The 25219-nt window shown below is 47.2% G+C and overlaps 1 protein-coding gene across 4 annotated transcripts in view; it reads right to left on the reverse strand.

Moving 5' to 3' along the window:
* Positions 1–25219, reverse strand: part of MYH11 (myosin heavy chain 11) — a 153894-nt gene that overhangs the window by 65232 nt on the left and 63443 nt on the right. For 2 of the 4 annotated variants that reach the window (NM_001040114.2, NM_001040113.2), the window contains exons 5-10: positions 18264–18366; positions 16332–16352; positions 14019–14111; positions 10414–10477; positions 7712–7810; positions 3203–3346 (exon numbers count right to left, since the gene is read on the reverse strand). In NM_001040114.2, coding sequence (NP_001035203.1) covers positions 3203–3346; positions 7712–7810; positions 10414–10477; positions 14019–14111; positions 16332–16352; positions 18264–18366 — 524 coding nt within the window. The remainder of the gene's footprint in view (positions 1–3202; positions 3347–7711; positions 7811–10413; positions 10478–14018; positions 14112–16331; positions 16353–18263; positions 18367–25219) is intronic. The other 2 variants (NM_002474.3, NM_022844.3) reach the window with 1 other exon arrangement.

Raw genomic sequence — 25219 nt, forward strand, 5'->3', positions numbered from 1 at the left:
GCTGCAGAACCCAATGTGGTGGGGAAAATCCTGGTGTCCCCTGGTCACTTGGAGCCTCATGAAGCTCCAGCCTGAAGCCTGACCCACCCCCTTCTCCATAGGCCCCTTGATGGAGGGTTTGGAAGTAGCTCTTGGTTTATAAATGGGGTTGGTGTACATTTAGGACTAAGTTGGTTCCTATGAGAGTTCGTCATTTGCACGCCATCGTCTGAATGCTTGCTCTGTGTACCATCTGCTCCATTATTTGCTTAATCATTTTCTTTAAATTTACTTCCTTCTCTTTCCTTACATTTGTTTTAATAGAAAACTTTCTCTATCTTCAGTGACAAATCATCTTCACTTGCCATAAATAGATGGCAATTATAAATATAAATACAAGGAAAACAGTATTACCAAATTCTAGCTAGATGCTTGGGGCTGCCGAAGGTGCTGGGCCTGGAGTCTGGTCTCTGTGGTTAAAGGGGAAACAAGTGCCAAAGTACATTGAGAACACTGGGGACTGGGCATGGTGGCTCATGCCTGTAATCCCAGCACTTTGGGAGGCCAAGGTGGGCTGATTGTTTGAGCCCAGGAGTTCAAGACCAGAGAATACTGGATAACATGGTGAAGCCTTGTCTCTACCCACCCCTCCAAAAATCAAACCAAAACAAAACAAAAAACCCCAGGCCAGGCACGGTGGCTCATGCCTGCAATCCCAGCACTTTGGGAGGCCAAGATGGGTGGATCATCTGAGGTCAGGAGTTTAAGACCAGCCTGGCCAACATGGCGAGACCCAGTATCTACTAAAAATACAAAAAAAATTAGTGGGGCATGGTGGTGGGCGCCTATAATCCCAGCTACCCAGGAGGCTCAGCCAAGAGAATTGCTTGAACCCAGGAGGCAGAGGTTGCAGTGAGCCGAGGTCGTGCCACTGCACTCCAGCCTGGGTGACAATAGCAAGCCTCCATCTCAAACAAAACAAAACAAAAACCCTAAAATCAAAAATTAGCCAGGCGTGGTAGCACATGTCTGTAGTCTCAACGACTTGAGAGGCTGAGCTGGGAGGACTGCTTGAGCCTGCAAGGCAGAGATTGCAGTGAGCTGAGACTGCGCCACCGTACTCCAGCCTAGGTGACAGAGTGGTGTGATCTCGGCTCACTGCAGCTTCGACCTCCTGGGCTCAAGCAATCTTCCTGCCTCAGTCTCCCAAGTAGCTGGGACTACAGTGTGCACCACCACACCCAGTTAATTTTTTGTATTATTTGTAGAGAAGGGATCTTGCCATGTTGCCCAGGTTAGTCTCAAACTCAAGCTCAAGTGATCTGCCTGCCTTGGCTTCTCAAAGTGCTGGAATTACAGGCGTGAGCCACCATGCCCAGCAAAACAATTTAAATGGTCTCATTGTTTTCTTTCACAAGGACAGACAATGATTTAATAAACCCTCTATTAATCAACCTATTTTAGTTTGTTCCAGTTTTTTTCTATTTATTTTTTTTGTAGAGACAGAGTCTCACTGTGTTATCCAGGCTGGTCTCGAACTCCTGGGCTCAAGCAATCCTCTTGCCTCAGTGTCTCCAAATGCTGGGATTACAGGCATGAGCCACTGTGCCCAGCCTGTTCCAGTTTTTTATTATTTAAATAAAACTATACTGAACAGTGTAGTACATCAAGAAAAAAGGATTTGGTAAATTCCTGGCACACAGCAAATACTTAACCATTGTTCATTGTTATTTAAAAGCAAGATTAGAAGCAAAACTGACCCCTGTCCCAAATGAAATGAATCATTCTTGGAGGGCCTATGTCATTCAGACAAGGAGGCTATCAGCACTAGATTCTGATGTGGGACCCTGGCCAAGACCCACATACACCATCCATTTGTCAACTGACCCATACAGCCTAATTTTCCAGACCCCAAGTTATCTTCGGAGGAGCTGCCCCTCCCCTTATGCAGCATTTCAGCAACCTCAGTGCTATTCTGGGGCTCCAAACGGGCGTAGGCGTGGGAAGGAAGGGAAACTTTCCACAGTTCTGTCCTGGTGTTCCTGAAAGAGATTAACCTTCAACACTGAGGCACATCTAACGCAGAAGGAAAATCGTTTCTGGAAACACAGTGTCCCGACCAAGAATTTCTTTCTGAGCTGTCCTGTTCTCAAGACCCAGTGTGTTTCTTGGCCATTGGTTGGATGATTTTGATCAATATCAATTGATCACCAGAGCAACCCCTCCAGGAAAAGCCTGAGTAAATCCACTGCCTCGATCACTCCCCCTCCCCTAAACCCTGCCCACATGTTCCTGATGAGGCCAACATCTCTACCTTCAGCTCCAAGAATCCATTCTTAGGGACCATAATGAAACCACCCTGCGCTTTCCACAACCCTGCCTATGCTGCATAGCTCAGGAATGTGCATATCAACCTAAGCCAACCAATCAGAGTCAATGACACTCCATTCAGGAACTTAAGCCGGGAATCTACTCTGTTCTTTGGACATAAACCCAAAGAATATAAGGGCTGGAACCCAGCTATGTTGCTGTCAACAAACTGCATCCTATAGAGAAACAATGTAGTCGAGAGAGATAGAAGACAAGAAATTAGGTTCTAGAAAAATCTTTTGAACACCTAGATCTCACTGTACCTGAAGCTTGAATTCCTGAACTTTTTTTTTTTTTGAGATGGAGTCTAGCTCCATCTCCCAAGCTGGAGTGGAGTGGTGTAATCTTGGCTCACTGCAACCTCTGCCTTCCGGGTTCAAGCAATCCTCCCACCTCAGCCTCCTGAGTAGCTAGGACTACAAGTGTGCACCACCAGCCCTGGCTAATTTTTTTTTTGTATTTTTAGTAGAGACAGGGTTTCACCAAATTGACCAGGTTGGTCTCGAACTCCTGACCTAAAGTGATCCGCCCACCTTGGCCCCGCAAAGCGCTGAGATTACAGACCTGAACCACTGTGCCTAACCTCCCTGAACTTCTCAACATTCTGAGTTAGTCACTTTCCCTTTGGTTTAAGCCAGCTCGGGTTACTTGCAACCCTAGTTATACAGCCACTTTTCTACAACACAAACAAACCACCTAGAATAAAATTCATTTTCCTCCTTTTTTTTTTTTTTTTTTAATGGAAGGTGGGGAATTCAGAGAGCAGAAATCTGTCCTGACCAGAGAAGAGTTCTTAACAGGTTCCACTGGTATCCAGGCAAGCTACCCTCCAGACTCAAGGTGTGAGGCTTACATAGCTGCTCCTCCTCGCTGAAACCCATGATTGCCATGGCCTCCACGGTTTCCTGGAACATCTCATCATCCTGGGCTGCTGGGATGGGCACAAAGCCATTGGAGAGGAAGGTGTAGTTGTTGAAGCCCTCCAAAAGCAAGTCACCTAGAAGGAGAGGAAGACAGGTCAGGGTCAATAAGACATACTTCTAATTTCAACATGAGACCGAGATCTGGTCAAGGGTCTGGGCCATCATAATTCCTTTCCCTTTATCAAGGCTTGAACCGTTTAAAGCCCTCACGCATCGTCACGTAGACAGCCTCACCAACCACTGCCAGCCTTACACAGCGGTGCAGGTTGTGCACTGCTCCAGTGACTGCAGCTGATATCCAGCCTTGGTTCTGCTTGCTAAGCCACAATCCCTGGCACGAAGTTACATTTACCTGGAGGAAGGGATGCCTTTACCTCAATTGTCTAGAGGCACCCTGCCTTCAGCCTTCAGAGACAAAGCTGTCAGAAGAGTTAGATCAACCTTTACTCTTTTTTTTTTTTTTTTTTTTTTGAGACGGAGTCTCACTCTGTCGTCCAGGCAGGAGTGCAGTGGCGCGATCTCGGCTCACTGCAACCTCCGCCTCCCAGGTTCAAGCGATTCTCCTGCCTCAACCTCCTGAGTAGCTGGGATTACAGGCGCCCGCCACCACGCCCGGCTAAATTTTGTATTTTTAGTAGAGATGGGGTTTCACCATGTTGACCACACTAGACTTGAACTCCTGACCTCAGGTGATCCACCCACCTTGGCCTCTCAAAGTTCTGGGATTACAGACGTGAGCCACCGCACCTGGCCTTATTCATGTATTTATAAAATTTTTATCAAATTCAAACAGGCACATGAGTTTTAAAAATCAATTACTACCAAAGGTTTATAATGAAAAATAGCATTCTCCTGTCACATCCCTTCTCCAACTCTACCTTACTCCATAATACCTGCTTTTATCTCTTTTAGCTGCTTTTTATCTGGCAGTTACCACTATCTCTCTGTACAATAGGCTTGCTATATATACTAGCCTATTATAATGTATATACCATTATGTATTACATATCATAGGCCAAGGGTTCCCCAACCCATAGGCCATAGACCAGTACCGGTCCATGTTAGGAACTGGGCCACACAGCAGGAGGTGAGCAGCAGGTGAGCAAGTGAAGCTTTATCCGCTATTTGCAGCTGCTGCCCATCGCTTGCATCACTGTCTGAGCTCCGCTTCCCATAAGATCAGCAGCAGCATTAGATTCTCATAGGAGCGCAAACCCTATCGTGAGCTGCACATGTGCCCTCCTTATAACACTCTAATGCCTGATAATCTGTCACTGTCCCCCATCACCCCCCGATGGGACTGCAGGAAAACAAGCTCCCAATGATTCTACATTATGGTGACTAGTATAATTATTTCATTGTATATTACAATGTAATAATAAAGTGCACAGTAAATGTAATACACGTGAATCATCCCCACACCATCCCCCCAACCCTGCCCGCCCAGTCTGTGGAAAACTTTTCTTCCAGGAAACCAGTCCTCAGTGCCAAAAGTAACAGGTGCTTTTGGCCTATTGGAAGACCAGAGGCAAAGCACAATCGCTGTAATAGGCGATTTCTGGATATGTCAAGTTTAGATAGTATCTAGTGACTTCCTGCTATGGTAGGCAAAAATGCAGCTTTCTTATACTACCTTTCCTTTCCTCCAGCTATTTTTTTTTTTTTTTTTGAGAGGGAGTTTCACCTTTGTCCAGGTTGGAGTGCAGTGGTGCGATATTGGCTGCTCACTGCAACCTCTGCCTCCCGGATTCAAGCAATTCTCCTGCCTCTCGAGTAGCTGGGATTACAGGCACCCACCACCATGCCCAGGTAATTTGTTGTATTTTTAGTAGAGACGGGGTTTCATCATGTTGGCTAGTCTAGTCTTGAACCCCTGACATCAGGTGATCCACCCGCCTCAGCCTCCCAAAGTGCTGGGATTACAGGTGTGAGCCACCGTGCCCAGCCACCCCCAGCTATTTTTAGTTGAATCAATATATAAGGCTTATATCACAGGTTGGCAAATCTGGTCCCCTGTTGTTTTTGTAAATAAAGTTTTATTGAAACACAGCTGCTCTGATGTCCTTGTTTATTTCTCATGGCTGCTTTCTCACTAGGCAACAGAGTTGAGTAGTTGCAACAGAGGCCATCTGGTCCTTAAAGTCTAAAACGTTTACTACTGACCCTTTAGCAAAAACAGTTTGCCAACTCCCTTTTTATGACATTAATTAGATATTCTGTGTCAAACTGTATCCTATGATTACATTTCCTTTGTTGTTGTTCAGCTTCTCCCCCACCCCCAACTTTATAATTGCCTTTCTTTCTCCTGCACCATTTGCTTTTATTATACCCTCCAATACATCAAGGATCCTCTTCCAGATCAATCTTTAATTAGGATGGATTCGGTTATACTTTTGGAGAGACGTCAGCAAGATATTTTTCTTTCAAAATCAAGGTCTTTTATGGGTCAAGTCACTTGGAAGCTGCTTGATAAACTCGAGGTTAAATTGACTGAAGGCACCAGTTAACTCAAACTTTTGGATTAACTTGAAATGCCTGATTCAAGTCACGAGGATTGAGGTCTTTGCCAAGACTTCATTATCCCGAGTTTGGATGCATTTAGCAATATTTGGTTCTTTCTAAAAGCCTAACATCTTTCCAGTTCTATCATCTAGAATACAAACGGCCCCTGGGAATTTAGTTCTGAGCCCTATACTTGCCCATTTCTGGAAGACCAGAGGCAAAGCACAAAACTGGAACCCAAGGTACCAAACAACCAAACTGTTTTCTTGGGTGCCAAATAAAAGGAAAAGGAATGTCAACATTTTTCCCTGGCCCATTCCACAGGGTCCTGCACTGTAACTGCTAATATACCATGTTTGCTGGTACATAAAAAATCCATTCAGCATTCCCCCTTTACCAAAAATTGCTCCACCTCATAGCCTATGTTCCTGAAAGCCAGCCATTAAGGAAACTTATTTTTATTGTTTGAGACAGAGTCTCACTCTATCGCCTAGGCTGGAGTGCAGTGGTGCAATCTTAGCTCACTGCAAACTCCACCTTCTAGGTTCAAGTGATTCTCCTGCCTCAGCCTCCCAAGTAGCTGGGATGACAGGCGCCAGCCACCACACCTGGCTAATTTTTGTATTTTTGGGGAGACAGGGTTTCACTATCTTGGCCGAGCTGGTCTCAAACTCCTGACCTCAGGTAATCCGCCCGCCTCTGCCTCCGAAAGTGTGGGATTACAGGCATGAGCCACTTTGCCCCACCCTGGAAATTTAAATAATGGATAATGCCACCCCCTAGTAGCTGAGGTCTACAATACACTCCGACACAGCGAAGTTCTGAGCTCACACAGATCCTTTTGGTAACTGTCTTAACCAAAATAACTAACCTTGGGCCACAAAAGAGATGGGAAGCAAAGTCTGTATTGTTCCCATAGAATTTCAGACTCAAAACTTATTACTAACATGTAGACTCTACTATGTACAGATAGTCACTGATCCATTCCTTTTTTAAGCTATGCGATTTGTATATATTTTTAAGAGTTAGTAAACAGCTGCAGGTCCAGAACTCATAACTTCCTACTGGAGTTTGGTATACAGTGTATTATATTTACATAAAAAAACTTTTCCCTACAACAGAGGTCAGCAAACTTCTGCACACTGCCTGTTTTTGTAAATAAAGTTTTATTGTAACACAGTGATGCATCTGCACTCACTGATTTATGTGTTGCCTATGTTCATTGGTTTATGTGCTGCCTGTGCTCATTGGTTTATGTACTGCCTGTGCTCATTGGTTTATGTGTTGCCTGAGCTCACTGGTTTATGTGTTGCCTGAGCTCACTGGTTTATGTGTTGCCTGCACTCATTGGTTTATATATTGCCTGTGGCTGCTCTTGTATTACAATGGCAGAGTTGAATAGCTGTGCCAGAAGCCACCTGGCCTGCAAAGCCTGAAGATTTACTATCTGGCCTTTTACAGAAAAAGTCTTGACCCCTGTTCTACAAAGTCACTGGCAAAACATGTATAATGAAAAATGCTTAGTCCTGCTGCCCCTGCAAATTCCTTATAAAACCAGAATGCATCTTTTATATTTGCAAGTTTTATAAATTGGCAAGTAAGGCAAATGTCTTTCTCCCTTTCCTTGAAGGCGTAGATTGTGTCTAGTTGGACTTGATGCTCTCTGGTCTAATGAGACATGAATCATTAATGATCTAATGTCTAATTGGAGTTGATGGCTACTATGTCACATAGTAGGTGCTCAGTAAATGAGAATGACTGAACACAAGCCACACTCACTCATTGGGAGGAGATGAAGAACTGTTCATATGTCACTCACAGACATGGTCCTTTCTGGCAGGATCTGAGACTGTTTTAATAGCCAATCCCTTAACCCCGGATTCTGATGAAAGGGAAGGCTCAAGCCATCCAATCACATGTCATTGCTAGTCACTTACTTCTCATCTTCTCCTTGGCTCCAGCAATCATGTAGTAAAAGATGTGGAATGTCCTCTCGTCTCTGGCTTGGCGAATTGCCCGTGATTTTTCTAGCAGATCTGGTTTGGAGGGAGTTAGGGATTCTGGGGATACTGCGGGTGTTCCTCTGGTCTTCCACCTCCATCCCTGTCACACCCAATTCACATGGGATGACTTTCCAGTTCTACCCCTGGGATCGGTAATGTCTAACTTTGACCATTGCCCCTATGGACAAATGGAACCGCTGGGTGCTGCCAGCAGACTTCAGATGCAAAAAAAAGGGAGGGGAATAGAGTGAAAAGAAAAAGCATAAAAAGGCTCCAGGAAGAAGGTAATGGTAACGAGATGTTCCCCTAACAGCCATCACCAGCAAATCTTCTTTAAAATGAGCTGTCTTCAGACATGACAGAATACAAATAATGACACCATCTATGATCCTATGATTTATGATTCATTCCTGTGTGAAATGATTGATATAAATTGTCTCACTGAAGCCTCACAAAGTATGCTAGGAAATAAGTGCAACTATTATCGGTGTTTTCAATAAGGGGAAACTGAGGCTCAGAGAAGAGAAGTCCTTTCTCAAGATGATACAGCTAACAAGTGGCAAAGCTGTCTTCCATGCCCTCTGTTCCAAGAGTGGGGTCTGACGGGATGGAGGCGAGAGAGACCGTAAACACGCCACACTAATTAATTTCAGGAGAGCTTCTCCGCGATGCGGGGTGGCAGGAGGGAGAGCAGAGGGGAGGGCAGGTGAGGGTGGCATGGAGATCACAGGGTCCGGGGTGATGGGAGAGGGCAGCTGGGAGGCTGGGCTACTGTACTGGGTGGATTTCCACAGCACTAAGCATGATGGTGCGGGATGATGGGGCTAGATCAGCAGACCTTGTCTTCTTCAAGTCCTAAAGCCAGCTAGCAGTGCCCGGGCTACCACAGCCCATGTCCAATCTGGAAAGCAGTGATTCTCAGACTTTCTCATGGTGTACATGGGTATACACACGCACACATACACACACACACACACACACACACGCACGTATGTTTGAGCCAGAGTCTCGCTCTGTCACCCAGGCTGGAGGGCAGTGTGTGATCTTGGCTCACTGCAACCTCTGCCTCCCGGATCCAAGCAATTCTCCTGCCTCAGCCTCCTGAGTAGCTGGGACTACAGGTGCATGCCACCACGCCTGGATAATTTTTGTATTTTTAGTAGAGACAGGGTTTCACCATATTGGCCAGGTGGTCTCGAACTCCTGACCTCAAGTGGTCTGCCCGCCTCGGCCTCCCAAAGTGCTGGAATTACAGGCGTGAACCACCGTGCCTGGCTGAGATGTGTGTTTCTAAAGAGCTCCCAAGTGATGCTGATGCTGCTGGTTTGGAAACATACTTTGAGAACCACTGATCTAAAAGGAAGGCTGAGGCCAGAAGGACGGGGCTATGCCTGGGGCTCGCTCTAAACACAGGAAATGAATTGCTGAGAGGTGTGTGCAGGGCTGCAGGACAAGAGGGCCCTGGCTCTGGACTTGACCGAAGCCTGACAGCCCTCCTAGCTGCAGGATGGGAATCCTGGCTGGTTTGGGCAGATTAAAGTAGAAACGTAGAAAACATTGAGTTAACGCAATAGCCACCACCTATGAGATGCTCACTTTGGGCCCAGTACCGTACCAAGGGCTGTGCATATTATTATGCATATTATTTCATTTAACCCCTGCACCAGCTCCAGAAACTAGGTGCAATCACCCCCATTTTACCGAGGCAAAACTGAGGCCCAGAGAGCTTCAGTGATTTTCCCAAATCCCCACAGCTTAGACAAGTACAGTGGAGAGGAAGCTACTCCACAACCCACCCTCTTATCCAGGGCACATAACGTGGAAAAATGGGACCACTAGGTGCTGCTAGAGGACCTCAGGTGCAGAAAGAAGCTAAGTCAGGCCCCCAGGTCCTATACATTGCCAAGCACGTGTTCCACAGGAAGCCTGAGCCCTAGGGCCGCCTGCAAAGCTCCTGAGGCTGATCAGTCACTGAACTCTAGACCTGGTTGTTCCCCCACGTCCAGAAATTTCTAACTTGGCTCCACTTCACCGCTCAGGTTCATGAAAGAGATGCTCTACTTGTTCCTTGCGATACCAGCATTCTTCTGGGTAAACTCTGTTTTCATCAATTTCCTACCTAAGAAGTGGAGCCGATCACAGACCAACTCTCTAAGAGGACGACAGGTCCAGAATTTGGCCTCGGACAATGGCTGAATAAGGATGAAGTGAAGATCATACGATAGACACTACGTAGCCAGCCCTTACTCTGCACCTCGCATGGTGCCTAGAGCTTTATATGAGTTCATTCACTCTATTCTCACATTTCTATGAGGCAGGTACCATTCATTATCATCCCCATTTTGCTGATGAGGCACAGAGAGGTGGAGTAACCAGCCCAAGGTCACTCAGCTAAGGGACAGATCATTTGAGCATCACATGCAGCCTAGGCTGCTTGTTTAGGGTTCAAACCAGGGGTCCGGTCCACACATGTATAACCACTGCACCACAATGCCTGCTGTTAAGGGGAGATTTGTTCTGGAAGAAACCTAAGAGGCTGGAAAGATAGAGGTGGCTCTTGGACTCTCCCAGCCTCTGGGCAGGAGATTGGTAGGGGGCAGGGGTACCCATTTGGCCCAGGCTCAGGGAAAGGATACAGGTCTCAATGTTGGCTCCCACGATGTAACCCGTGACGTCGAAGTTGATGCGGATGAATTTGCCCTGCCAACAGGAAAACACAGTTCAGGCTTTGCTGCCCAACTTCAGCCGTTAACCCCATGCTGTGGGCAAGCAGGAGGCAGATGGTACAGAGGATGGGAGGTGGGGCGGGGAGATTCTTGCGAACACTCAGAACCCCACAGGTCAAGTTGTCAGGCGGAACCAACATCTGCTGAGCTGAAACCACCCCAGGCCTGACAGCAACAGAACGTGTAAAACATGTTCACAGATCAATTTCATTCGGCTTTTGCAATGACCGTAGTCCATCATGGCTATCCCTATTTAAAAAAACTTATTTATTTATTAGAGACAAGGTTTTGCTCTGTCAGCGAGGGCTGGAGTGCAGTGGTGCAATCACAGCTCACTGTAACCTTGAACTCCTGGGCTCAAGCAATCCCCTTTTCCCCATGACCTCACCCTCCCAAGCAGCTAGGACTACAGGCATGCACCACCATATCTGGCTAATTTTTAAATTTTTTTTTGTAGAGATAGGATCTCACTGTGTTGTCCAGGTTGGCCTCAGACTGCTGCACTCAAGCAATCCTCCCACCTCAGCCTCCCAAAGTGCTGGGATTACAGGAGTAAACTACCACACCCAGCCCACTATCCCCATTTTAAAGCTGGGAAAACTAAGGCTAAAAGAGATCAAGTGACTTGTCCAACGTGACGTTGCTCCTGAGAGGTAGGGCCCTAAGCAGAAAGAAGGTTTTTCCATATTCAGGGGCTAGAGGGCTCCCTCCCCAGACCCCACCCTGCTCCAAAACATCCACATCATCCAACTATGGATTAAACCTTTTCTGTGGGACAGGTGAGTATGCATTGGCCACACTGCCCAAGCAGGCCCTGTGTAGGATGTCCTTTAGGCAGGAATGGCTCATGTTCCTGGCCCTAGAGGCTCAACAAGTATCTCCAAAGATGGCCCTATCTACCTGCCTCAGCTAAGCCATGAAACCAAGGATGGAACCCAATCCTCCATCTGTTGGCATGAACCCTTTTCCTGTTTCCTCAACAGGTGAGACAGGATTTCATCCTTTTCCCCCATCATGACATAACATGGTGGGAAGTGTTGGCGTGTGTGGACACAATCCCCTAGGCTTGCTCAGTCCTTGACAAAACCTTCAAACTTTCCCCATTGGGAAACATGCAGTAGAGTGATTTGGGATGACCATATCCCAGATGGAGCCAGGGAGAGCCGGCTGGTCACAGGCAAGGCCCAGGCACCTTCTTCACTCTCCTTCCCAAGATGGCAGGGACGCCAGTGAGTGGAGGATGTTTTTAGGGATTTGTCTTGCACGTGCTTCCATTTATGACAGGCTAGAAACATTGCACAGAATTGGAACATGCAAACGCAGTGCTTCTCAGTGGAGGCGGCACATCTGCTATGGAGATTTTGGAAATCGGTGGAAGCCATTATTTGGCTTGTCACATGTTGGGGGGGGGCCGCTGTTGTTAGTGAACAGTGGGGCCAAGGATATTTTGGGAGTCCTGCAATGACCTGGAGAGTCTCTGATGCCAATCCTTGTCTATATCCCTTATGACTCTTCCAATGTCTCACCTGCCACTCATGGAGGTAAAAATCTGTTTGTAATTAGCCAGGCTTAGAACCTAACCTTTATGACTTTAGATTTTTACGCTTTTTTTTTTTTTTTTTTTTTTTTGAGACAAGAGCCTCACTCTGTCGCCCAGGTTGGAGTGCAGTGGTGTGACTTTGGCTCACTGCAACCTCCATCTCCCCGGGTTCAAGGAATTCTCCCACCTCAGCCTCCCGAGTAGCTGGGAATACAGGCATGTGTCACTGCGCCCAGCTAATTTTTGTATTTTTAGTAGAGACAGGGTTTCACCATGTTAGCCAGGCTGGTCTCAAACTCCTGACCTCAGGTGATCTTCCCAACTCAGCCTCCCAAGGTGCTGGGTTTACAGGTGTGAGCCACTCTGTGCCTGGTCTAGATTTTTATGCTTTTAAATGAAAGCATTAACAAGTGTTTAAAATGTTGTTCTAATACAAGAATATCCCATCTGTGTGACTCTAGAGAAGATTGTTCTTTGGTTCAGCGCTTCACTGAGAGTCAGTTGCCATTCTGGAAAATCCCATGCCAACATCATCAGTGCCTGAACTTGACCCTTTTCCTTGTATTTGTAGCTGTCGCCGTGGATAGACCTAAGTGTCTGTCTCTTACTGTGTCTTCTGTTGGTGTGGCCTGGCCCGAGCATTGATATGCTGAAATGCACTTTATTTATTTATTTTTGTAGAGATGGGGTTTCCCCATGTTGCCCAGGCTGGTCTCAAACTCTTGAGCTCAAGTGATCTGCCCGCCTCAGTCTCCCAAAGTACTGGGACTACGGGCATGAGCCACCTCGCCTGGCCTGAAATGCACACTTTCATTATGAATTGTCTTATGTTATTTCTTCTTCATATTCCAGTTAGGGCATTATGCTGATGTGTATTCATCTAATACGTGTAGGAGGTGATACTATCTATGATTCTAATTTCGGGCGAGGAAAGGAGACATTATGTAATTGTTTGTTACTAAAATGGGCCTTGGGGATCACAGGGTCAGGGACCACCATGTGCATTTGCTCAGCAGAGCAGAGCTTTCTGCAAAGAGTCTTTCACAGGGCCCCATCTCAGCGAGCAACAGTTCAGAGACCCCCTTCTCCTGGAATGCAGAGGCAATTTTTCCTTCATCTTTTCTCACTAAAATATCTTTCTGACCCTCCTACGGAGACAACCGCTTCTTTTGCACAATAAAACCATTGTTGTCTACCTATCATCAACCATCCACTTTCAGAGTTCCCCTGCCCTGTTGGGCTCAGGCAAAAACTTTTTGCTTTGGAGCCTGGGGGAGTGTGCATGGGAAGGTAGTACCCCCTGCCTCACTTACTCTCTGTTATTCAGTTGGAAGAACCAGCTTCATGAAGGCTGGAACCATATCTGAACTATTCATCGCAATCCTGTGAGACTCGCTGAGTGCCTGGTATACAGTAGGCACTTAATAAAAACAGCAAATGAGAAAAAAACAAAGAGAATGGTGGTACATGTAAAAGTGCCTACCAGAGTAATTGTACACAGTAGGTACTTACTAAGTATTTCTTGGAGGAGGTGTGTGCCTGGTACACAGTTGGCACTCAATTCATGTTTTGTTACATAAAATGGTATCGGATATAAGGGTCTAGCCCATACCAGGTGCTCAATACCTAATTTTTTAAATTTTATTTTAATAATAGAGATGGGATCTCGCTTTGTTGCCCAGGCTGGTCTAGAACCCCTGGGCTCAAGTGATCCTCCCACCTCAGCCTCCCAAAGTGCTGGGATTACAGGTGTGAGCCACCGCACCAGGCCAATCAATATTTGTTGAGTGAATAGTGAATAAATTAATGAATGAATGAGAGAGTGAGAGGCAGGAGCCCTTGCAAGATTGTGAGATACAGCCCATCTCTCCAGGGTCAGATGCCCCTCCCACCTCTGCACGCAAACACTCTGCAGCCCCAGGCAGGAGATGACACCAAAGCTTTTCTGGAAAATCCATGTGGCTTTGCTACTTACGAATCGTGAGGAGTTGTCGTTCTTCACTGTTTTGGCGTTGCCGAAAGCCTCCAGAATCGGGTTTGCTTGTAGAAGCTGCTTTTCCAGCTCTCCCTAAAATTCATTCACATCTAGTTATTGGAGAAAGCAACCTAGGTCCTGACAGTTCTACCTTGGATGGATGTTGTCACAAAACTCTGCCCTTAACCCACAGGTTCTCTCCTATCTCCTACCTCCTCTTAGACCCTGATGCTAATGTTCAGATTTACAGGAGGATTTCAGAAGAGAAGCAACTGTCTGAGCTCTCTAATAGCTAGGACATCTGCTCCCTAGGAAGGTCACTTTTTTCAAGACCAGGGCCTGCTCATCTGTGCAACATCACTGCCACTCAAAGCCACTGCCTTGCACAATGTCGGTGATGTCATTTACATCATGATGAATGGTGCCCCCCGGAGTTGTGCAGTGCACCACCTGTCCCACTGTACATGGCAGTCGTGCTGCTGTTCATGTTTAACAAGCAGCCTTCTTCAAGTTAAACCACTACAAGCCTCCTTCTAATTATTTTAGTGCAATTTTTTTTAAGTTGCAATTTTTTCTTTCTCAGGACTGGTTTTCTGAAGTCTTCTACAGCAGACAAGTAAGGAATGCACAAAACCCACCAGGAATCCTCTTAGCGGACTGCGGAATAAAGCTTCAAAGCAGGTTGCCTGAGCTCCATTCATTGGGTTAAAGGAAGCTGAGACTGTACACAGCCCACCGGCCCCCTCTGCCGGGATGCCTTTGCACAAACGCGGTCACGTGATTAATCATGGCAGGAAAGGGCCAATGTGGTAAGTTAAGCTGGGAAAGCAAACGAGCTGCTCTTGGCCTAGCCCTAAAACATGGCGGCTGCAGTTGGGCCCCGAGGCCTCCAGGCCCTGGATTCTGGGAGTTTTTCTCCTTGTCCTCCCCTCCTGCTTTCCCTTCCTTATTTTTCCAGGCATCAGGGCTGGGCTGGACAGGAGCCGGGAAAGTGTCTAGAGGGGACAAGGATGGGCATGGCTTCCTCCTCATTCCTCCGCATGCTAGGAAGGCATCAGGGTACCTGGTCTACAGGACAAAGCAGGAAGCTGCTATTTGTTTCTGTTTTGATTTGTCCACACATCCTCCTTTTTGTAGCTCCCAGAGAAAGATGAAGCAAAAGCCTCATCCGCATACAAATCTCAGCTACAAGTGGAATCACCACAGCTGAGACTGGTGGAAATTTACAAGGAGCACCACGGGCATTTCTTTGTTGGTGGGAAGACGACTAAAGGAATCACTTTTGTTCACATAAACTTGGGGTCTCCATGCTCTCTGAAAAAGGCTCCCTTTCTAGAATGGGGATTCTGGCAGGTAAGGTTGAAAAGTCTTGGCAAGAGAGCTTTAAATCGGGGGACCTGGTTCAAACCCTCAATTTTATAGATGATGAAACCATAGCCCCGAGGAGTTAACTGACTCGGCCAAGGTCACACAAAAGCAGATCCCAAATAAGAACTGTAATTCTCCTTCTGATCTGCAACACAGTCACCCAGGGTCTAACTAAGATGGATTGAATGATCTTTTCGGGAGCCAAGGAAGACACCTGTGGGTTTCTTCTAGGCTGGGACCCACACATCAGCCCCCCAAGCTCTGTGTTAGAGATGAGTTTACATATGCACAGGTCCAAGCAGGACCAGGTTATGCGTTGCGTAGCTGGGGCCTTACCGCGCCACCAAAGCTAGTGCATCGCGACCTCCAAGACTGTTTCTGGAGGCTTGAGTCAAGCAACCAGCATGCAAGAGACAGACACGCACTGCACACGCATGCACAGGGACACACTGGTGCACCAGGGACAGGGCTGAGGGAAGACACTTAGGGATGATGGCAGGGAGAGAAGAGGGAGGCATGCCACAGCTGTGCCATCGACTGTCCATCGAGCCAGGGAAGCTTTGGGGCCTGACAGTCCTAAAACACTCAGCCAGATGGGACAGACATCTCTGTCTAGGTTGTTCCAGTCAAGGGTACCAGGAGCGGATGCTTTGAAGGGTGCAGGGGTTCATTCTGAACCGGAGAAATCCATTTCAGGCTGGAGCGCAACCCTGGGGACTCCAATAGGCGTCCCGTGGGTGGTAAATGCACCCCCACACCCTTCCCTGGCATCAGACACCCACAGGATGGTATTTTGGTGCATTTACTGATTTAAGTTGTGAAACTCTAGGGCCTACCCCATTTCTACCACCAGCTACGGGACTCGGTGGGTGCAAGAGGATCATGCAGATCTAAGTTCACTCCGTGCCTCCCCTACACACCAGGAAAACACTCTCAGTTACTCACGTAGGCAAAAGATGGGCCTTGCTGTGGTTGAACAACACAGTATAAAACAAATGTCAGCGTTATTTCCATCACATGGACATCAGGGGCTGGAGAATATATGACTTTGATCCCCCCAAACAGCCTGGAGTCTCCCAGACAGACTGGTCAGCTCCTTTTCCTTGATACTGTTTCTTTTCTCTCTGTTTAGCTGCAGGAATACGATCACAGCTCACTGCAGTCTCAACCTACTGGGCTCAGGCAATCCTCCTGCCTCAGCCTCCCAAGTAGCTAAGACTACAGGCATGCACACCAGGCCCAGCTAATTCTCTTGATTTTTTTTTTTTTTTTTTTTTGGTACAGACAGGGTCTCACTATGTCACCCAGGCTGGTCCTGAACTCCTGGGCTCAGACCATCCTCCCACCTTGGCCTCCCAAAACACAGATTACAGGCATGAGCCCCCATGCTCAGCCATTCCCTCCTTTTTCTAATTTCTTAGAGATCCAGACATTTCAAAGGTTTTCATAATTACTGGGGCCACATTAGGCTCCTTAAAACAGTATCCAGTGAGACAATGTCTGAGATGTGTTTACGCATGCAGCCAAAACAAGCAGCACATAGTAGGCCCTTGATAACGATGAGTTGTTAGAAAGTATTATCTCCTGTGTTTACTCTTTAGGGAAAGGGAAGGCAGTGGAAACTGTGTTTAAACTGCCACACAGCCTCTGGGGCCATTGTTCCCACTCACTATGGCTGGAAACCAACTTGCCAGAGACAATTCTAGGATGCTGAATCTTGAGTTTCCTGCATTTGTTTGGAGAAGGAAAGTTCTCCAAAGCCACGACCAGCGCCCATCCTAGATCTCCAAGGGCCTCCAGACAAGCCGGCCATGGTGGCTGCCCCAGAGTCCCCTCTGAGGACGCAAAGTGACATCTGGAATGGCGAACACTGGAGACACCCCATGCCGTGGTCAGATCTCCATCCTACCATCTTCCCACCCACAAACCTGCAGACGGAGGCACCGGCCAGTCCTAGCGGCCCTACCACGTGCCCCCTCCTGTGGGATAGATGGGGCAGGGCTGACACACGAGGAGGAAGAGAAGGATGGGCCCTAGAGGTGATGACTCTAGAAACCTGCTCTTCTTTTCCTCCCAAGCTCTTAGTCATACCGTGTCATCATCTGTTTATTTGAGGGATTCTTTGACAACTACATGCTCTTCCACAGGTCTGGAAGCTCAGAGAAGAGAATAACAGCATCTCTCAGACTTATCCCCAGGTCCCCACCCCAAGTGGTTCCTGGCATACAGTAGGTGCTCAATCCACAGTTACTGAATGGCATTGCACTGAAGCCCACGGGCCGAGTGATACCAGCATCTCCATCCCAGGGACAGGGGGACACGTGGAGGAATCCGGGAACCCAAAAGGTACCTTAACCCCTGGGACGTTACAGAGATTCATGAAAGGAGTGCTTCTCAATCAAGGGCAACTGTCCCACCCCAGGGAACATCTGACAATGTCTAGAGATATTTTTGGTTGTCACAACTGGAGGGAAGGGGGCTGTCGGCATCTGGCGGGTCGAGGCCAGGGATGTTGTGAAACATTCTACGAGCCACAGGGAAGCCCCTCCAAGGAAGAGTTATCTGGTCCAAAATGACATCAGTGCCACCACTGAGAAGCCCCGACGTGGAGGAAGATCTCGCTATGGAAGGAAAGGGCTTATTCTCATTTCACAAAACGGGCCCCCTTCTGGAGGGATGCTTCTAGCTGAGCCAAGAAATCACCCACACTCAACAGGCCTGCTCGCCAAAAAGACGGTCCCTCTTTGAGTCTTCAGGGGAGGGGTAGTCAGATGGGGCCTGAGTTCTTGCAATGATGTTCTGTTTGTATCTCGGTTGGGCTGCAAGCTGGAGACCGGTTGGCTAAATCATGGCCTCTGATTGGGAACTGCCACTCACCGTGATACTTGTGTCTTTCTTGCCCTTGTGGGAGGAGGCCACCACGGCCAGGTACTGAATGACCTTCTTGGTGTTTTCGGTTTTCCCGGCTCCAGACTCGCCTCTGAAAGACACGGGAACATCATCTATGCACACGTTCCATGGTGACCTTTCCGCAGTTCCATGAGCCAGGCAGGACAATAATGATCATCACCACCATTTCCCAGAGGGTGAAACAGAGGCTCCCAGAGGGGAAGTAACTTGCCCAAGGCCACATCTCTGGTAGTGAGCGGAACTGGGTCCCCAGCCTAGGTCCAATGCCCAATCTATTCCTTCCAAGAGGACATAGAAAAGAATTCAGATACAAAGAGTGAAAAGGTGGGCCGGATGTGGTGGCTCATGCCTGTGATCCCAGCACTTGGGGAGGCTGAGGTGGGAGGATCATTTGAGCCCAGGAGTGTGAGACCAGCTCAGCAACACAGAGAGACACTGCCTCTAGAAAAAGATTTAAAAATTAGCCAGGCATGGTGGCACATGCCTGTAGTCCCAGCTATTTGGGAAGTTGAGGCAGGAGGATCACTCGAGTCCAGGAGTTCAAGACCAGCCTGAGCAACACAGCACAACCCTGACTCTATAAAAAATAAGAAAAATTAACCAGGCTTGGTGGTGCATGCCTGTAGTCCCAGCTACTCAGGAGGCTGAGGTGGGAGGATGGCTTGAGCCCAGGAGTTTGAGGCCACAGTGAGCCATGATCACACCACTGCACTCCAGCCTGGGTGACAGAGCAAGACCTCATCTCTAAAAAAATAGAGTGAACAAGAAAACCTTAGTTTTCTTACATAGGTCCAAACAGGTTTATTTGGAATTATCTACTTTTTTTTTTTTTTTTTTTTGAGATGGAGTCTCACTCTGTCCCCAGGCTGGAGTACAGTGGCACAATTTCAGCTCACTGCAAGCTCCACCTCCCTGGTTCTCCTGCCTCAGCCTCCCAAGTAGCTGGGACTACAGGCACCCACCAGCACACTCGGCTAATTTTTTGTATTTTTAGTAGAGACGGGGTTTCACCATGTTAGCCAGGATGGTCTCGATCTCCTGACCTCGTGATCCGCCTGCAGACATCATTAGCATTGCTAGAAATGGAAAGACCAGGCACAAGGCAGCCTTCAAGAAAGGATGTAAGTGCCTCTGGAGTACCAGGACCTAAAGTTTAAGAAGCTCCCTTATGGAAAGAAAAATTTACCAAAAAACCGGTTATCCCATTGGTCACTGGGCAGATGCAAGCCCCTTTATCCTCTGAGGAATCCCACCCCATGTATCAGGAAGCTGGCTGATGATCTCAGCCAAGTATCTAAGAATAAACCCAGTTGAAGTAATTCACACTAAAGTGTAAATGACTGATATGTTTAGATCAGCACGACATGGTTTGTCGTATCAAAAAAGTATGTCCTCCTGGAATATGAAGGTAGATCTTTTTTTTTTTTTTTTTTACCAAGATGGCTTTCGTGCACTAGCTGCCTGTTTTGGCCACCAGAAATCATCACAATGGAACCGCTCCATCCAGATACTGCCTCTATGTTCCACCACTCCTAGTGAAAGATAAGGACAGTGCCTTGACCAAAACTTCACTTGTTTATCGTCTTCTTCTATTTTTCAGTTTACTTTTGTTTTTTGTGTTTCCTTTCTTTGCCTTATCTCTTTTATTTTCTGAGCTCACTTAATACTCTAAAATATAAGAGAGTTTTTTTTTTAAGTTGAAAAAAGAATTTGTTCACCCCGAGGTCAGCCCAAGGTTCTCTGTGCTGAACCAGTGCCACCAAAGCTAGTACAGTCTCTGCTCTTCTTCCTAATTAGGAAATAAAGAAATTAATTTTCTCTGCCAAAGGCCCATTAATAACTTGGCTCATGGCTTAAAAAAGAAATAGAAGAAAAGAAAAAAGAAAGAGAAAGAAAAAAAAAGTGCCCCAAATTGCTGTGCCTAATCCTACAGGTCCCACTGTCCAGAAATCAAGTGTCTGATGGCCAAGAATGATGAAACATCTTGCGGTGACTTTGTGTGGTCCCTTCCCTTCCTAGAGGCCTTCCTTCCCAATGGCCACATTATTTCACATGGCCTCAGAGGCAGTTTATGAAATGGGGACCATGAAGGCATTACCCCATTTCCCCAGAAGGGGAAACTAAGACCAGAATATATGTGTGTGTGTGTGTGTGTGTGTGTGTGTGTGTGTGTGTGTGTAAAAGAGGAGAACTGGCCAGGTGCAGCAGAGAACTGGCCACGTTTATAATAGCAGCTACTCAGGAGGCTGAGTTGGGAGGATGCCTTGAGGCCAGGAGTTTGAGAGAAGCCTGGGCAACATAGCAAGATCCCATCTCTTAAGACAGAGAAGAATTGGCGTTTGTCATTGGGGGGATATAGGGGGAAGGGTCCCTTTGCTAAATGCTCTACATGAATTATTTCCTTTATCCTCTTCCTGCTTCCATGTTATTATAGAAGGAAGAGTCTTGCCCAGAGTGGGTAAGCAATTTTCCCTAGGTCACACAGCAAAGAAGGGATACAGTCAGAATGGAAAGTCAGGTCTCTGATTCTAATGCAGTCAGAATTCCTTTTACTACATTTCACCAAGTTGTTCCATGACACAGGCCCAACCCTCTAGGGACTTGCTTTCTAAGGCCAGAAGAAGGGCAGGGGAAGGGGAATTGATATTTGTTGAAGGCCTGCACAGTACTAGGCTTTGGGCTCACAGATCTTTTCATTTACTCTACCCAGCAATCTAATGAGAGAGTTATTAATTATCCCCATCACCCATCCGGGGAAACTGAGGCAAAGAGAGGTTTGAAGTAAATTGCTCCAGCCCACAATTGCTCCTGCTTTCACACAGATAGGAAATGGAGGAGAAGCAGGATTTGAACGTAGGTCCACTTGACACCAGGGCCCATGTTCTGCCTCCTACCCTTTTATTTTAACAAATCAGCAAAGAGAAAAGACAGAGTGAAGTCCCAGCCCCACTCCACTGGAATTCTGCCATATATTCCAGGAGGCTTTACTTGCCCCAATCAATGAACCAAGCCACTCAGTCATTCACACCTAAGTATGAATTACTTCAATCAGGCTAACGTCAGAACCTTGCTTGACTTCATTCTAAAGTGAAGGGGTTGGATTCTGATTAAAGCAAGAGAAAGGAGAGAAATTTTTGGATGTAGGAAACCACTTGCGTAGGTGGTCATGAACCTATTCAGATCCAAGACAAGAATCAGGACAGCAGTGTGCACAAACAACATGTGTGGATCACACTCTTCATGCTGACAAACCAGTGCTCCTAGACTGCTGCTGCTCACTTCTCCTTTCCCACAATAGTTCCTTCCTTTCCACCCTGGCCTTGAACCTCTCTCACCTCCTCCCTTTTACAACAAAGACATCACCGGGTGTGGTGGCTCACGCCTGTCATCCCGGTACTTTGGGAGGCTGAGGCGGGTGGATCACTTGAGGTCAGGAGTTCAAGACCAGCCTGGCCAACATGGTGAAACCCTGTCTCTACTAAAAATACAAAAAGTAGCTGGGCATGGTGGTGGGTGCCTGTAGTCCCAGCTACTTGGGGAGCTGAGGCAGGAGAATCCCTTGAACCCAGGAGGCGGAGATTACAGTGAGCTGAGCTCGTGCCACTGCACTCCAGCCTGGGCAATAGAATGAGACTCCATCTCAAAAAACAAACAAACAAACAAACAAACAGACAGACAAAAAAAAAAACAAAGACATCAATGTGCCCTATCCGTGGCTATGGTCTCCCACTTTGCCTGGGATGGGGAGTGGGACATAAACTCTGGGCATCTACCCCTTCCCATGTTGCTGCTGGGCTCCACTGTTTCCAAGTTCTGTTGAGAAAAATAAATTGCCCTGGGAGGTTCTGCCAAAGAAAACATCCCAAGCTCCAGGCTCGTGGGCGTCTGAAGGTTGATGTGCTTAGAGCTGGTTCTAGAAACATTCATAGCTTGGCTTTTCTGACCCCTGACCTCTAGGGGTGAAGATGCCTTCCTGGTCTGAGCACCCTAAACTCCTTTCTTATTTCTTGGGGAATTTGGTACTGAGCTCCCTCTTCCCGGAGAAGGACCAGACTCATGACCACGTTATGGCCTCCTGGCCTTGTAACTACCCCAGTGCCAAGTCCTTTTAATCAGTCCAGCCCCAGCAGCTGGGAAGAACCACCCAATGGCCACTTAATCCCCCAGCCAGGCTGGCTTCATGAGTGTGACCTGTACCGTCTCACAGGGACCACCCTGTGCTTCATACTCTAATGTTGCCATCTGGAAATTCTTCCTAATTCTTTATAAACGCTCTGCATTTTTTTTCTTTTCTTTTTTTTTTTTTTTTTTTGAGACTGACTCTTGCTCTATTGCCCAGGCTGGAGTGCAGTGTGTGATGGCGGCTCACTGCAACCTCTACCTCCCAGGTTCAAGTGATTCTCCTGCCTCAACCTCCCAAGTAGCTGGAACTACAGGTGCCCGCCACTATGCCTGGGTAATTTTTATATTTTTAGTAGAGATGGGATTTCACCATGTTGGCGAGGCTGGCCTCGAACTCCTGACCTCATGTGATCTGCCCGCCTCAGCCTCCCAAAGTGCTGGGATTCCAGGTGTGAGTCACTGCACTCAGCCAGCATTTTCATTTTGCAAAATTCTACAAATTCTGCAGCTGGTCCTGGCTCCCAGGGTCGAATATTGCCAAGTCCATTGCAGCCTGTGGTTTGCCACTGGTAGGAAAGCCAAATTGTCTCTGATGAACCTCACAGCTATTCAGTCCCTGGTCTTTATGTGACTGGCAAAGCACCCTGGCATTTTGTACTGTACAACTCCTACACGTCCTGCAAAACCCCAGGCAGAAGCAACGCCTCTCTCCCCTATAGCATCAATTGGCAGAATAGCATAATGGGCTCCAGGACCAGGTTGCTCAAGTTCAAATCCCTCCTCTGCCAGTTACCTGGGTGACCTTAGGCAAGTCATTTAGCCTCTCCATACCTCAGTTTCTTTACCCCATTATAAAATGGGTATAATAAAAACACTTACCTTGTATGATTTTTTTTTTTTTTTTTTTGAGACAAGATCTCACTCTGTGGCCCAGGCTGGAGTGCAGTGATGCAATCATAGCTCACTGCAGCTGAGAATTCCTAGGCTCAAGTGATACTCCTGCCCCAATCTCCCAGGTAGCTGGGACTACAGGTGCACACCACCACAGCTGGCTGATTTTTAAATTTTCTGTAGAGACAGGGGTCTCGCTATGTTGCTCAAGCTGGTCTCGAACTCCTGGTCTCAAGTGATCTCTAGCCTCAGCCTCCCAAAGTGCTGGGACTACAGGCATGAGCCACCATGCCTGACCTTTTATATGATTCTTATGAGGATTAAATGAGTGAACATTTATATAAAATGCTTAGAACAATGCCTGGTATGCCAAAATGTTAGTTATTATTACTTTTGTTTTTTGAGACAGAGTTTTGCTTCTTGCTCAGGCCGGAGTGCAGTGGCACAATCTTGACTCACTGCAATCTCGAACTCCTGGGTTCAAGTGACCCTCCCACCTCAGCCTCCTGAGTAGCTGGGATGACAGGCATGTGCCACTACACCTAGCTAATTTTTTGATTTTGTGGGGTCTCGCTAAGTTGCCCAGGATAGTCTTGAACTCCAGGCCTCAGGCAATCCTCCTGCCTCGGCCCCCTAAAGTGTTGGGATTACAGGTGTGAGCCACTGTGCCCACCTATTATTACTTTTATAACCACTGCTTCCACAGAAGTTATATATTGTTTGTATAATGATTTTCAGCATTCATCCTATCATTACAATATAAATAATATTCACATTTTCCCACTGTTTAAGCTAGGAGTTAGCAAACTCTTTTTGTAAAAGGTCAGACAGTAAATATTTTAGACTTTGAGGGTCACGCATTCTTTGTCACATCTGCTCAGCTCTCCACTGCAGCACAAAAGCAAATACGTAAACAAGTGGGTGCGGCTGTGTTTCAATAAAACTTTATCTGGAACAGACAGACAAGGGCCTGATTTGACCCACTGGTTAAACTTTGTCCTTCCTTGGCTTGAGTCCCTTAGCACGTTCTCATCCATTTCATTTATTTATTTTATTGTTATATATATTTTTTGAGATGGGGTCTCACTGTGTCACCCAGGCTGAAGTGCAGTGGTGCAGTCTTGGCTCAGTGCCAACTTTCTGCCTCCCAGGCTCAGTGAACCGAGATCCTCCTGCCTCATCCTCCTAAGTAGCTGGGACTACAGGCACATGCCATCACGCTCAGCTAATTTTTGTTTTTGTAGAGAGGGGGTTTGGCCATGTTGGCCAGGCTGGTCTTGAACTCCTGAGCTCAAGCGATCAGCCTGCCTTGGCCTCCCGAAGTGCTAGGATTACAGGCATGAGCCACCATGCCCAGCCTGTCATCCATTTTAGACGAAAGTTTAAACTCCTCCCCAGGGCCTGGAAGCACCCCCTTACCTCTCTCTAATTTTATGTGAAACCACCCTCCTCCTCTTACTTTAGCCCCCTGATCACACAGCTCTATCTCCAGCCAGGCCCATGGCCTCTAATTAAACTGATTATACTGGATGGATTACATGCTAGACAAAATACAACTCAGGCCTAAAAATTACATTTATTCAGCTTTCAGTTTCCTTCCTTTCTTGTCTTCCTTCCCTTCCTTTCCTTCCTTCCTGTCTCTGGGTCTTGCTCTGTTGCCCAGGCTGAGGTGCAGTGGTGCCATCATAGCTCACTTAGCCTCTAACTCCCAAGCTCAAGTGATCCTCCCTCCCCAACCTCCTGAGTAGCTGGGACTACAGGCATGCACCATCCCACCTAGCTAATTTTTAAATTTTTTGTAGTAATGGGGTCTTACTGTGTTCCTCAGTTTGGTCTCAAACTTCTGGCTTCCAGCCACCCTCCCGCCTCGGCCTCTCAAGGCCCTGAGTTTCCAGGCATAAGCCACCACA

Source organism: Homo sapiens, chromosome 16 (assembly GCF_000001405.40).
Source record: "Homo sapiens chromosome 16, GRCh38.p14 Primary Assembly".
Lineage (NCBI taxonomy): Eukaryota > Metazoa > Chordata > Mammalia > Primates > Hominidae > Homo > Homo sapiens.